General features: G+C 38.7%; 1 protein-coding gene across 10 annotated transcripts in view; it reads left to right on the forward strand.

The window, feature by feature from the left end:
- Positions 1-14,069, forward strand: part of TMEM132B (transmembrane protein 132B) — a 475,992-nt gene that overhangs the window by 431,594 nt on the left and 30,329 nt on the right. Inside the window, exon 1 of one of the 10 annotated variants that reach the window (NM_001286219.2) lies at positions 4,473-4,649. The exons of the other annotated variants lie outside the window; for them this stretch is intronic. The gene's annotated coding sequence lies outside the window, so the exon portion shown is untranslated. Of the gene's footprint in view, positions 1-4,472; positions 4,650-14,069 lie in introns of those variants that run through there. 10 annotated transcript variants of the gene reach the window in all.

Consider the following 14,069-nt stretch of genomic DNA (forward strand, 5'->3'; position numbering starts at 1 on the left):
TGAGAATACCCTTAGGTTTGAACTTCCTCACAAGAGTGTGGTCCATAAAGACTGAGTTCCTTTAGGGAGAGCTTGGGAGCTCTTTGTTCTTATGACCTGCTCCTCTTCCTTCTTAAAAATCTGAGACACCAGGTGCAGTGGTCCATTTTTCTCTGGGTGACATCTTTATTTTAAAAGCAGGGTGCTGGGTGGGGACACTAGCCTCTAGTATTCTCAGCCTGCCTCTCCCAAATTGGAACTTATGGCCTATGAGTGAGCTGACGTGAGGGTTATTCGGCCATAGTAGTCTCAACTTGCCATGCATGGAGTGGGGCATCTGACCTGCAAGTAGGGCTGGGTGGAGGAAGGGAGCCTGTGTCTCTCTTAGTCACACTGACCTGGTATTTAGACTCTGCCACATGGAGCTAGAGTGGAGATGAGGAATGTTGGTAGCCTGCCTCCCCTTGGGAAATAACACAGCTACACCTGGCGTATGGGGGTGGTAAGAGCCCCATCTTTGACCACATCTGTCTGAAATAGAGATTCTGTTATTCTTAGCTGAGTAGTGTGGAAGAAGGAAGTGGGTTCTGGCTCATGTGCCACTTGCTCTTCTTTCTGAGATTTCAGAGATTTTCTTAAATCGATGCCTCCTTATTTGATGTCTGCCCTTAGGATGGTTTCCATTTAAATGGTTAAACCAGTATCCTTTAAATGTTTTTTTTTAAAGAATACAAATTTTCTCCAATTATGATTGTTTTGGTGGAGAGTGGGTCCACAGAGCTCCTTAGAGAGCCAAGTCATCTCCAAAGTCAGCACTTCAGAATATTATGTTAATAATGTTATAGGTGATATGTAAATATACAAATCTTAAAGGTAGTATGCAATTGACTCCAGTTTGGTAACCACTGAAGAAACATACTTGAAGTACCCTAAACTGTCAAGTTTATCAATATTAGTTATTATTTTTAAATTTATGGTAATTTCTGAGATTACTGAAATCTATAAGGAAGTAAGGCAGTTGGAAGTGCAGTGCTGGGCAGCAAGCATTCTGCTCCTGGCTGACCTTGAAAATTTGGTAGTGGTAGAGGCAGTGGGAAGTGAGTTTTTGATTGAGTTATCTCTGCAAAGGTATCAAATGGCTATGTTTATGTTGCCCCAATGATTTTCTTCTGGCTGTTTTTGAAACAGCTAAATGTGTACTTGCTGGATAAAGGGAGCAGCACTTGGATTGGTACTCGGAATCTCTGTACACAAAAATCCAGGCAAAGAGTCAGCACCTGGCTTCCCAAGAAGCTCTGCTCATCTGTGTTCTGTAGGCTATTCTGGGCCTTGAAAGTGCCCTGGACCACCTGCCTGCTGTGGCATTTATTTATATTTATTTATTTATTTATTTATTTATTTATTTATTTATTTATTTATTTATTGAGACAGAGTCTCACTCTGTCACCCAGGCTGGCATGCACTGACACGATCTCGGCTCACTGCAACTTCTGCCTCCCGGGTTCAAGCAATTCTTTTGCCTCAGTCTCCCAAGTAACAGGGATTACAGGTGTGTGCCACCACACCCGGCTAATTTTTATACTTTCAGTAGAGACAGGATTTCACCATGTTAGCCCGGCTGGTCTTGAACTCCTGACCTTAGGTGATCCACCCACCTTAGCCTCCCAAAGTGCTGGGATTACAGGCGTGAGCCACCATGCCCGGCCCTGCTGTGGCATTTAACTGGGCATGTGGTCTCTGTGGCAGGCAGGATTTATAGTCTATTCTGAAGAGCCTGACCACAGGCTGCTGGACAGGGGGATCCATATCCTTAAAAATACACAATTATTAGAATATTGTAAGCATTGCGTCTTCCTGCAAGACAAGAGAGAGTCAGGTGACTCATCCCATTTTGTGAAAGGAAAGGGAGGCTTCTGTGGCCATAAATCTGTGTTGAAACAAGCACCCTCTGTATGAGGAGTTGCCAACAGTGATTTAGGGAAGACAATGGAGCATCAGACTCTTCAACTGAGTTATAATATCCATCTTGAGTGAGTAGGAGGTGCTGTCATTCTGGGACTTCTGTTTAGTCATCAGTAAGATGGGCATCTTAATGGCATCTTCAAATGAGATTTATAAATCATAGTTGCGATGTGTCAGCAGAGCCTTTCAATTGTGCCTACTGTGTGCTTTCAGGAAATACATCTCTTACTTCAGCATTTCTTCAAACACGGCACATGTGCCACTGGGGATGTATCAAATGAGGCTTGGTGGCACATAGACATACCTTTCAAGATTTTTAATATCTATACATTTATTTTAATGTACTTTAGACAATAATGTCATTATCACAAAGAATTACAGATATATTCTTGCTTGGGACAAAGCTGAGTAGGCAGAGCTGAATTGGCCTTTCCCAAACTGTGTGAATTTGAAGGACAGTGGCCAGTCATGCCTATGAAAGTTATAAATCTTCAGCAAGTGAGCCTCCTTCCACAAGTTAATGGAAGGATGGAGAGATCAGATGTTATAGATCACCCACAAAATATGCATATTATCACTTCAAACCAGCTTAATGTGCTGTCTTTCTCCAATGATAAAACAAACTAGTTTAAGATCTGAAGACATGACAAAAGCTGTAAGAGTCCCACACTATAATAGTCTGTTCTCACACTGCTAATAAAGACACACCTGAGACTGGGTAATTTATAAAGGAAAGAGTTTTAATTGACACACAGTTCAGCATGCCTGGGAAGGCCTCAGGAAACTTACAATAATGGTGGAAGGGGAAGCAAACAAATCCTTCTTCACATGGTGGCAGGAAGGAGAAGTAACAAGCAAAAAGGGAAAAAAGCCCTTTATAAAACCATCAGATCTTGTGAGAACTCACTTACTATCACAAGAATAGCAGCATGAGAGTAACTGCCCCAATGATTCCATTGCCTCCCACTGAGTCCCTCCAATGACATGTGGGGATTATGGGAACTACAATTCAAGTTGAGATTTGGTTGGGGACACAGCCAAACCATATCACACAGACAACTGAACTTTGGGAGACTTGGCCCAAGATATGCCATTGATTCAAACCTCATAAGAAGTTAAATCACCATTAATAAATAAATTCCATTAATCCATAAATACATTTTGAGTCTGTTGTGGTGCCAGGTGTGCCAGAGACACATAGATAATTAAGACCTGATTTATGACCTTGAATGGGTCACGTTTATAAATCCTCCTGTAAACATGGGTAAAATGTAAAAGTAAAATGGGGGCACATGAGTGTTACTATTGGAGAGACGGGGAAGACTTTATGGAGAAGGTGATGTTTGAGCCGTGTCTTGAGGGGTGCACAGGAGGCAGACAAGAATGATGAGGGCATTTCAGACAGAGAAGAACATAAGAGCAAGAATTATAAAAGCAAGGTGAATGTAAGGAATGATGATCTCTTTGAGTAGAGGGAAGGGGGAGTTTGAGTGTTAGGTGCATGTTGGTGGGAGTATGGGAGCGGGGCTTGAGGTTAGAAAGACAGATGGAGATTTGAAGACCATCAAAACTCTGCTAAGGTATGTGGACCAAATTTATGGATCTCAGTGGCAGATATAAGACATGCATGTGGTAAGACACTGCTCCCTAGCATGTGGTCATAGTAGACATCATTAATCAATCCCAGCACTCCTTCATGCTGGAGCCCAGATTCCTTCTCAAGCAGAACTCCCTTGAGTAACAACTATGACTTGATTTGCATTGGCCAGCAAGATGAACCTATTTCTTACCTCTGGTAGAGTCTGTGGGGAACCAGCAAAAGTTTTTAATAAGGAATGGAGAGCATGATGTTAATGAGGACAAGATATGGACCTCGAAGGGTGACATACTTTCCTACCTTTCCTCTGGCATCATGCTATACATATCAGGATGACGTGATCATAAAATGACAGGCCTTGAGACAAATATTTCCCAAAGACACGCTCTATTTGTCTAGAAAAGTACTTTAAAACTATATATAACTTAGATGCCAATATTGTATCACTAAGAATCTAGATTTCCCATTTCTCTTGAAGAATCAGGATCTCTCTGAACATAGTCCTTGCATTCCCACATGGCAGCAGTGGGCTCAGCTGAGGTCCCTTTCAGCAGGGCTTGGGGTGTCCTCCCTGCAGTCCCATGTCCTGTCATTCACAGCAGACCCACCTTCCTCATTTAGGTCACCTCCCTGTTCTCAACAGGGATTTAGTTGTTGAGTTAACTCCCACCAGACCTCCTTAAAGTTCCATCCCAGGCCAATTGTGCTGAAAAATATGGCTTAATTACATGTTTAAACTGAATTCTATTACAGATATGTTAGATGAGATTACCTGCATTAGATAAGTTACACTGGAATAGTATGTTAGATGTGATTATCTTAATTTATTGCTAATGTAAATCAAAGGTTCCCACAAAGCAGAGTCTTTTAAAGTAAGAATCACAATAAGTCACCATGGGAGCCAGGTCTGAGGCCACACAGAAGTAGAACTTTCATAGCCAGGTTTCCAACCAACCTTTCCTGTGCTGGAAAGGACTCACAGTCAAGAAAGGTGTAGATCCTGCAGACTGCGTGGAGGCCATGCTTTCACATCAAGCCTTCCTCGGTGACTTGCTCAGCCTGACTGTGTTCTTATTTGCTGGGTCTCTCTCTGGAAATCTCCACTTTGAGTGTGAGTTTAGGTGTCCAGCCTTCTCTGGGTAGCACTGAACAGATCTGAAGCTCTGCCATGTCTTTTCAGCTTGGGCCTTTCCAGAAACCTTTTTTCTGCTCTCATTCTGGAGCAAGTGGTGGGGAGGACATCATTTGTATTTACTTTTCCCTTTTCTCAAAGTCTCAGAGACAAAAATGCTCAGCTAACAATTTTTATACCTTGAGTTCACAATTCAGAGCATTCATTTGATAAACATTTCTTTTCTAAAATAAATTTTTATAGTTTCAAAACAAGTTTAGAAAACACAAGCCCTGCAGTTCTCTCTTTCTCCCCTGAGAATATGCTTATTCTGCCAAAATGTTTATCTTTTCTTTGACTAATTTATGTACAGACCCTGAACACCTAAGCTTGTGGCTTGAGCACCTGTGCCAATGGCACCTAATTAACAGCGCTTTTCTCCAGTAGGTTCGGGGAGTGCAGTCAGAACTGGGGCTGGGCAGCATGATATGCTGGGATTTCACCAGATCATCAACGCCCAATCCCTTCTCAGGCACCATTTGATGAATTGTAAGCCTAGATATTTTCCTAGGCTTACAAATGTTGGTGGTGCTTTTTAAATCTCCCTATGCCATGAAATAAATGCCAAAATGAAAACATCCTACAGATAAACATATGCTAAACTTTGTAATCAAATCATAATCTTGGGCCTGCATTGCTTGTATAGTCTTGATAAGGGGCAACATTTTGGTAACACTTGACTATAAAGGTAGAATCAAACCTTGTTCCATGTGGTTTGGACAGGGCTTTTTCTCCTTGGGTAAGAATATTTTGTTGTCTTCATATGGGAGTCCTACCAAGCAGATTCCAGAGATTGTCTGTGCTCTATGCTGGTGCCATCTAATAGGGAGTGAGATAAGGTCAGGTTATGGGGGTCATTGAGGCCTGTTGGAACAGAGATGTCCTGGGAATCTCAAATTAAGATGGGTATCAGTCCCTTCTTGTAGTTGGGTTGGGCTGAACACAGCCACTGAGTCCTGGCATCTTATAAGCACTGTGCAAACCCTACTGTCCTAATCATTGTATTTTACAATATTTTGCAGATGAGTCAGTCTCCTTCACTTAGTTGGGCTTCCTGCAGGGCATCGCCTCTCTGACTCACTTTGTGTCCCCAGAGTCCTGCTCAGAGCCCACCATATAACATTGCTGGCCCCAAGGCAGGTCTGAATTTTAACCTCACCTTCAGTGTGAACTCTATGCCTTTAAGACAGTGACTTGTCCTCTCTGGGTTACATCTCCACTAAGTGGGCACAGATCAGACCTCTGAGTTCTCATTCAGTGCCAAGATGTTAAGATTCTACGATGGAAGTGTGTTGAATGAGATGGAAAGAGAAAGCAGTGCAGTGATCCCCATTCTGCCCACCCTGCCCCAAGGCCCACACTGGCTGGGAGGCCTGGACATTCAGTCAGTTACAGGCTGAACGCTGAGCAAACCAACAGAGAGAGATAAAGAAATGTCACATCCCAGCCAAGGTCCAATCATGGAGGCCAGATGAACCTGCTTGAAATGAATTGATAAAAAGAAATGTAGCCAAGTGCAAAGCATCATGATCAGATCTTGAAGGGCTGAGCTAGGGAGATCTTTTGGAAGTGGGGGCTGAGAGTGACTTCCAGTGCTGGTGAGGGGCAGAGAGGGGCTCCCAGGACCTGCCAGTTGCCAGCTGTATGATCCTGGACAGCCCACTTCATCTCATTTACTCTGCACCATTCTTGCATGTCTACAATGTTCCAGGCCCCATCCATGATCTTAGGGTGCAGAAAATGAAATAAGGCAACAACCTTGTCTTCAAAGGACTTATATCACCATCCAATAAGGGCAGAGAAGTGTTAACAGGGTAGGTCTTAGCGTGAGAAGATACAAAGGTGACTGGGGATTCCTCAAGCCCCAAGGTTCGTGGACTTATTGTCCTCGAGCTCACTGTGATAATTATTTGACTTTGCATATTCATTTCTAAAATAATCTTTAAAAGCATCATCCTATACTATTGACAGTAGACTGAAAAATTGCTACTCAAATTTAGTTATGATGCTTGCGTTTGTGTTCACGATCTTACTAGAGTCCAGGGTTTGTGTGCGGTCCTTTTTGTCTTCAGCCATATCTGGTCAGAGCAATGTTTTCCAGAGTTACTTAGGTCAGTGCCTTTCTCCCCCACCCACTTTAGTGAGATCCTCCAAACATCGTGGTCGATGTTTTGATTAATGTATACAGAGTAAAATGTGCTTTTTGTGTAGAACTCTATGCAGTTCTATGGGTTTTCATGCATGGTCATATACTCACTACCACAGTAACCCGAAGAACAGTTCTGTCGCACCCTCACCAAATTCTGTTATGCTGTCCCTTTTAGTTAACATCACTCTCACCTCTCTCAACCACTGATTCATTTTGTGTTCTTACAGTTTGGTTTCTTCCAGGACAGCACAAAAGTGGAATAATGTAATATGTAGTCTTTTGGATTTGACTTCTTTTTTTTTTTTTTTTTTTTGAGACTGAGTCTCGCTCTGTTGCCCAGGCTGGAGTCCAGTGGCTCGATCTCAGCTCACTGCAAGCTCTGCCTCCCGGGTTCACGCCATTCTCCTGCCTCAGCTTCCTGAGTAGCTGGGACTACAGGCGCCCGCCCCCACGCCCAGCTAATTTTTTTATATTTTTAGTAGAGACGGGGTTTCACCGTGTTAGCCAGGATGGTCTCTATCTCGTGACCTCATGATCCGCCCACCTCGGCCTCCCAAAGTGCTGGGATTACAGGCGTGAGCCACCGCGCCCGGTCAGATTTGACTTCTTTCCCTAAAAAATGCATTGAAAGTTCATCTGTGTTATTGTGTGAATTGATAGTGGGTTTCTTTTTATTGCTGTGTAGGATTCCATTGTATGGATTTACCACAGTTTATCTATTTGCCTGTTGAAGGACATCTGGCTGTTTCTAATTTTTGACACTTCTGAACACATCTGCTATAAACATTCACATAAGAATTTTTGTGCAAACGTGTTCTCAGTTCACCTAGATGTGAGATTAATGGATCATTTAGTAAACTGAATGTTTAACTTTATAATAAATTGCCAGACTGTTTTCAAAGGCAGTTGTACAACTTTTCATTTCTACCAAAAATGAATGAGAATTCCTGTTGCTGTTCCACACTCTCAACAACATATGGTATTGAAATATTTTTCTTTTGCCATTCTAATGAGCTTGTAGTGTTATCTCTTAGTGGTTTTAATTGGTATTTCCTTGATAATTCTTGCTGTTATGCATTTTTTTCTGTGCTTATTTGCTATCTGTAAATCCTCTTCCCTAATGAAATGTTTTTAAGTCTTTTGCCAGTAAAATATGGTTGTGCTATTTTGGTATATTTTATTTTTACTTTTGTTACTAATATTAACACACAATGCATTGTTACTAGTTTTGCTTTAGATAATTAGCTATTTTTTCAGAACAATTATAACTCTGAAAAAATGAATTTTATTCTTCCTTAAATTATTCCATTCTTAAGTGTAGATCTAGATTTCCAACTGACACCTTCTTTTTTTCTGCCTGAAGGACTTTCTTTAATATGTCTTATATATTCCTTTTGGTTTTCACCAGTTTAAGTATCACATGCCTAGGTGTTTGTTTCCATTCATCTGTTGATGGACACTGAGGTTGCTTCCAAGTCTTGGCTACTGTGAACAGTGCTTCAACAAACATGGGAGTGCAGATATCTCTTCAATATACTGATTTCCTTTCCTTTGGGAATATACCTAGCAGTGGGATTGCTGGATCATATGGTAGTTCAATTCTTAGGTTTTTGAGAGACTCCCAAGCTTTTCTCCATAGTGGTTGTACTAAGGTAGTTAGCAATTATCTTAAGCTTTTGTCTAAAAAAATTATTTCACCTTCATTTTTGATAGATTTTTTTTGGCTGGGTATAGAACTATAGGGCAATAGTTATTTATTTCGGAATCTTCATGATGCCATCCTATTGTCTTATTGCTTGCCTGATTTCCAACAAGAAGTCTGCCGTAATTGTTATCCATCTTCTTCTGTAGCTAATGTCTTATTTCTCTGGCTCCCTACAGGATTTTCTCTTTGCTTTTGGTTTTCAGCAGTTTGCATATTACATGCCTAAGTGTTTGTTTTGTTTATAATTGTCCTCTTTGGTTTCACATGACCTTCTTGGATCTGTGTTTTGGTGACTGCCAGTAATTCTGGAAAAATCTTGGTTATATAGTTTTTTCAAATATTTTTTGAGCCCTGTTTTATCTCTCTTTTTGGGATTCCAATTACATGTACATTAGACCATTTGACCCTCTCACAGCTCTTGGATGCCCTTTTCCTTTTCTTTGTCACTCTTATTCCCTTTGTGTTTCAGTTGGGGTAATTCCTATTGATTACCTTCAAATTCACTGCTTCTTTCCTTGGCTCTGCCTAATCTACTGATGAGTAAATCAAGACATCAAGATCTTTGCTACTATGCATTTTTATTTCTAGAATTTCCATTTTATTATTCCTTATTGTTTTATCCTCTTCTGAAATTACCCATCTTCTCCTTTATGTTGCCTATCATTTCCTCTAGAGCCTTTAACATATTCATCATAATTATTTGAAATTTCCTGTCTGATAGTCCAAACAACTGAATCATATCTGAGTCTAGTTCTAATTATTGATTTTTTTTCTCCCTGGGGGTGTGTTTTGTCTTGACTTTTGGTATGCTTTGTACTTTTCATTTAAAGATGGACATTTTGTATATCATATTTCATCTCAGAAGATACTGAGATGAATCCTTTTTATGATTAGAGTTGTGTATACCTTTCTTTCTAATAGGCCTATAATGTTGGGATTTCTGTTAATATAGTCAGAAGTTGAGCTAAGTTTGAGGGTTTTTTAACATTTTTTTAATTTTTAATTTTTATGGTACATATTTATAGGGTACATGAGATGTTTTGATACAGGCATGTGATGTGTAATAATCACATCATGGAGAATGGGATGCCCATCCCCTCAAGCATTTATCCTTTGTGTTACAATCCAGTTATACTCTTCTAGTTATTTTAAAATGTACAATTAAATTATTATTGACTATAATCATAGTCACCCTGCTGTGCTATTAAATACTAGGTTTTATTCTTTCTATCATTTTGTATCCATTAACCATCCCCACCTCCCCCACAGCACCCACTGCCCTTCCTAGCCTCTGGTAACCATCCTTCCACTATCTTCGTGAGTTCAATTGTTTTGATTTTTAGATCCCACAAATAAGTAAGAACATGCAATGTTTGTCTTTCTGTGCCTAGCTTATTCACTTAAGATAAAGATCTCCAGTTCCATCCATGTTGTTGCAAATGACAAGAGCTCATTCTTTTTTATAGCTGAATAGTACTCCATTGGGTATATGTACCACATTTTCTTTATCCATTCATCTGTTGATGCTTCCAAATCTTGGCTATTGTCAACAGTGCTGCAACAAACGTGGGAGTGCAGATATCTCTTTGAAGTAATGATTTCCTTTCTTTTGGGTATATATCTAGCAGTGGGATTGCTGGACTATATGATAGCTCAACTTTTAGGATTTAGAGGAACTTCCAAATTTTCTCCACAGCAGTTGTACTAATTTACATTCCTATCAGGAGTGTACAAGGGTTCCCTTTTCTCTATATCCTTGCTAGCATTTGTTATTGCCTGTCTTGGATAAAAGCCATTTTAACTGGGGTGAGATAATATCTCATTGTGGTTTTGATTTGCATTTCTCTGATGATCAGTGATGTTGAACACCTTTTCATATGCCTGTTTGCCATTTCTGTCTTCTTTTGATAAATGGCTATTCAAATATTTTGTCCATGTTTTGATTGAATTATTCAATTTTTTTCCAATTAAGTTGTTTGAGCTCCTTATATATTCTGGCTATTAATCCCTTGTCAGATGAATAGTCTGCAAGTATTTCTATCCCGTTCTGTGGGTTGTCTCTTTACTTTGTAGATTGTTTCCTTTGACACGCAGAAGCCTCTTAACTTGATATGATCCCATTTGCCCATTTTTGCTTTGGTTGCCTATGCTTGTAGGATAATATTCAAGAAGTTTTTGCCCAGACCAGTGTTCTGGAGAGATTCCCTAATGTTTTCTTGCAGTAGTTTCATAGTTTGAGGGCTTAGATTTAAGTCTTTAATCCATTTTGATTTGATTTTTGTATATGGTAAGATATAGAGGTTTAGTTTCATTTCTCTACATATGGATATCCAGGTTTCCCAGCACCATTTATTGAAGAGACTGCTTTTTCCCCAGTGTATGTTCTTGGCACGTTTGTTGGAAGTGAGTTCACTGTAGGTGTGTGGATTTGTTTCTGGGTCCTCTATTCTGTTCCATTGGTCTATGTGTCTATTTTTATGCCAGAACCATGCTGTCTTGGCTGCTATAGCTCTGTAGTATAATTTAAAGTCAGGTAATGTGATTCCTCCAGTTTTGCTTTCTTTGCTTAGGATAGCTTTGGCTATTCTGGGTCTTTTGTGGTTCCATAGAAATTCTAGGATTTTTTTTTTCATTTCTGTGAAGAATGTCATTGGTATTTTGATAGGGATTGCATTTAATCTGTAGATTGCTTTGGGTAGTATGCACATTTTAACAATACTTCCAGCACATGAACGTAGAATATCTTTCCATTTTTTGCTGTCCCCTTTAATTTCTTTCATCAGTGTTTCATAGTTTTCAGTATAGAGATCGTTTACTTCTTTGGTTAATTCCTAGGAATTTAATGTTATTTATTGCTATTGTAAGTGGGATTATTTTTTAAATTTCTTTTTCTGATTGTTCATTGTTGGCATATAGAAATGCTACTGATTTTTGTATGTTGATTTTGTATCCTGCAATGTTACTGGATTTGTTCATCAGTTCTAATAGTTTTTTGGTGGAGTCTTTAAGTTTTTCCAAATATAAGATCATATAATCTGCAACCAAGGATAATTTGACTTCTTCCTTTCCAATTTGGATACTCTTTATTTCTTTTCCTTGTCTGATTGCTTTAGCTGGGACATCCAGTACTATGCTGAATAACAGTGGTAAAAGTGGGCATCCCTGTCATGTTCCACATCTCAGAGGAAGGGCTTTCAGTTTTTCCCTAATCAGTATAATACTAACTGTGGGTCTGTGGTATATGGCTTTTATTATGTTGAAGTATGTTCCTTGTATACTCAGTTTTTTGAAGGTTTTTATCATGAAGAGACGTTGAACTTTATCAGATTCTTTTTCAGCATCAGTTGAAATGATTATATGGCTTTTGTCCTTCATTCTGTTGACATGATGTATCACATTAATTCATTTGCATATGTTGAACCATCCTTGCATCCCAGGGATAAATCCCACTTGATCATGATGAATCATCTTTCTAATGTATTGTTGAATTCAGTTTGCTAGTATTTTGTTGAGGATTTTTGGATTAGTATGCACCAGAGGTATTGGCCTGTAGTTTTCTTTTTCTGATGTCTTTGCCTGGTTTTGGTATCAGGGAAATACTAGCCTTGTAAAATGAATTTGGAAGTATTCCCTCCTCCTCTGTTTTTTGGAATAGTTTGAATAAGATTGGTATTAATTCTTCTTTAAATAGTTGGTATAATTTAGCAATAAAGCCCTCAGGTCCCAGGCTTTTCTTTATTGGGAGACTTTTTGTTATGGCTTGGATCTCATTACTTGTTATTGGTCTCTTCAGGTTTTGGATTTCTTCATGATTCAATCATGGTGGGTTAAATGTGTCTAGGAATTTGTCCATTTCTTCTAGAGTTTCCAATTTATTTATGTATAGTTGCTTATGGTAGCCACTAATAATCCTTTGAATATCTGCAGTATCAGTTGTAATGTCTGCTTTTTCATCCCTGCTTTTGTTTATTTGGATCTTATCTCTTTTTTTCTTAGTTATTCTAGCTAAAAGTTTGTCAATTTTGTTTAACTTTTCAAAAAACCAATTTTAGAAAAATTTTATTTTAGGTTCAGGGGTATATGTGCAGGTTTGTTATATAGGTAAACTCATGTCATGGGTGCTTATTGTATAGATTATTTTGTCACCCAGGTACTACGCCTAGTACCCAATATTTTTTCTGCTCCTCTTCCTCCTCCCATCCTCCATCCTCAATTAGGCCCCACTGTCTGTTGTTCCCTTCTTTGCGTACATAAGTTCTCATCATTTAGCTGACACTTATAAGTGAGAACATGTGGTATTTGGCTTTCTCTTCCTGCGTTAGTTTGGTAAGGATAATGGCCTGCAGATTCATCCATGTTCACACAAAAGACACGATCTCATTCTTAGAAAAAAACAACTTTTTGTTTCATTGATCTTTTGTATTGTTTTATTTAATTTAAATTCATTTATTTCTGCTCCAATCTTTATTTCTGTTCTCTACTAACTTTGGGTTTGGTTTGCTGTTGCTTTTCTAGTTCTTTAAGATGAATCATTAAATTGTTTATTTGAAGTTTTTCTTCTTTTTTTGATGTAGGCATTTACAGCTATATACTTCCCTTAGGATTTCTTTTGCTGTATGCCATAGGTTTTCTTATGTTGTGTTTCCATTAACATTAGTTTTAAGAAATTTTTCAATTTTTTTTCTTAATTTGTTCATTAATCCAATGGTCATTCAGGAGCATGTTGTTTAATTTCCATGTATTTGCATAGTTTCCAAAATTCCTCTTGTTATTGATTTCTAGTTTTATTCCATTGTGGTCTGAGAAGATAATTAATATTGTTTCAAATTTTTTAAAGTGTTTTAAGACTTGTTTTGTGACCTAACATATTGTCTGTCCTTGAGAATAATTCACATGCTCAGGAGAAGAATGTATATTCTGCAGGCTTTGGATAAAATGTTCTGTAAATATCTATTAAATCCATTTGGTCTATAGTGCAGATTAAGTCCACTGTTTCTTTGTTGATTTTCTGTTGGAAAGATCTGTCCAATGTTGAAAGTGGGATGTTGAAGTGTCCAGCTATTATTGTATTGGAGTCTGTCTCTTTAGTTCTAATAGTATTTGCTTTATATATCTGAGTGCTCCAGTGTTGGGAGCATATTTAGTTAAAATTGTTATATCCTTTTGCTGAATTAACTCATTTATCATTATATAGTGTCCTTCTTTGTCTCTTCTTAGAGTTTTGTCTTGAAGTCAATTTGTCGGATATAAGCACAGCTACTCCTGTTCTTTTTTGGCTTCTGTTGGCATGGAATATCTTTTTCCATCCGTTTATTTTCAGTCTATATGTGTCTTTATAGGTGAAATGTGTTTCTTGTAGGCAACACATCAATGGGTCTTTTTAAAAAATCCATTTAGCCACTCTGTTTTTTTATTGAAGAGTTTAATCAGTTTACATTCACTGTTATTATTAAGTAAGGACTTACTCCTTCCATTTTGTTACTAGTTTTCTGGTTGTTTTGTACTC

Source organism: Homo sapiens, chromosome 12 (genome assembly GCF_000001405.40).
Source record: "Homo sapiens chromosome 12, GRCh38.p14 Primary Assembly".
Lineage (NCBI taxonomy): Eukaryota > Metazoa > Chordata > Mammalia > Primates > Hominidae > Homo > Homo sapiens.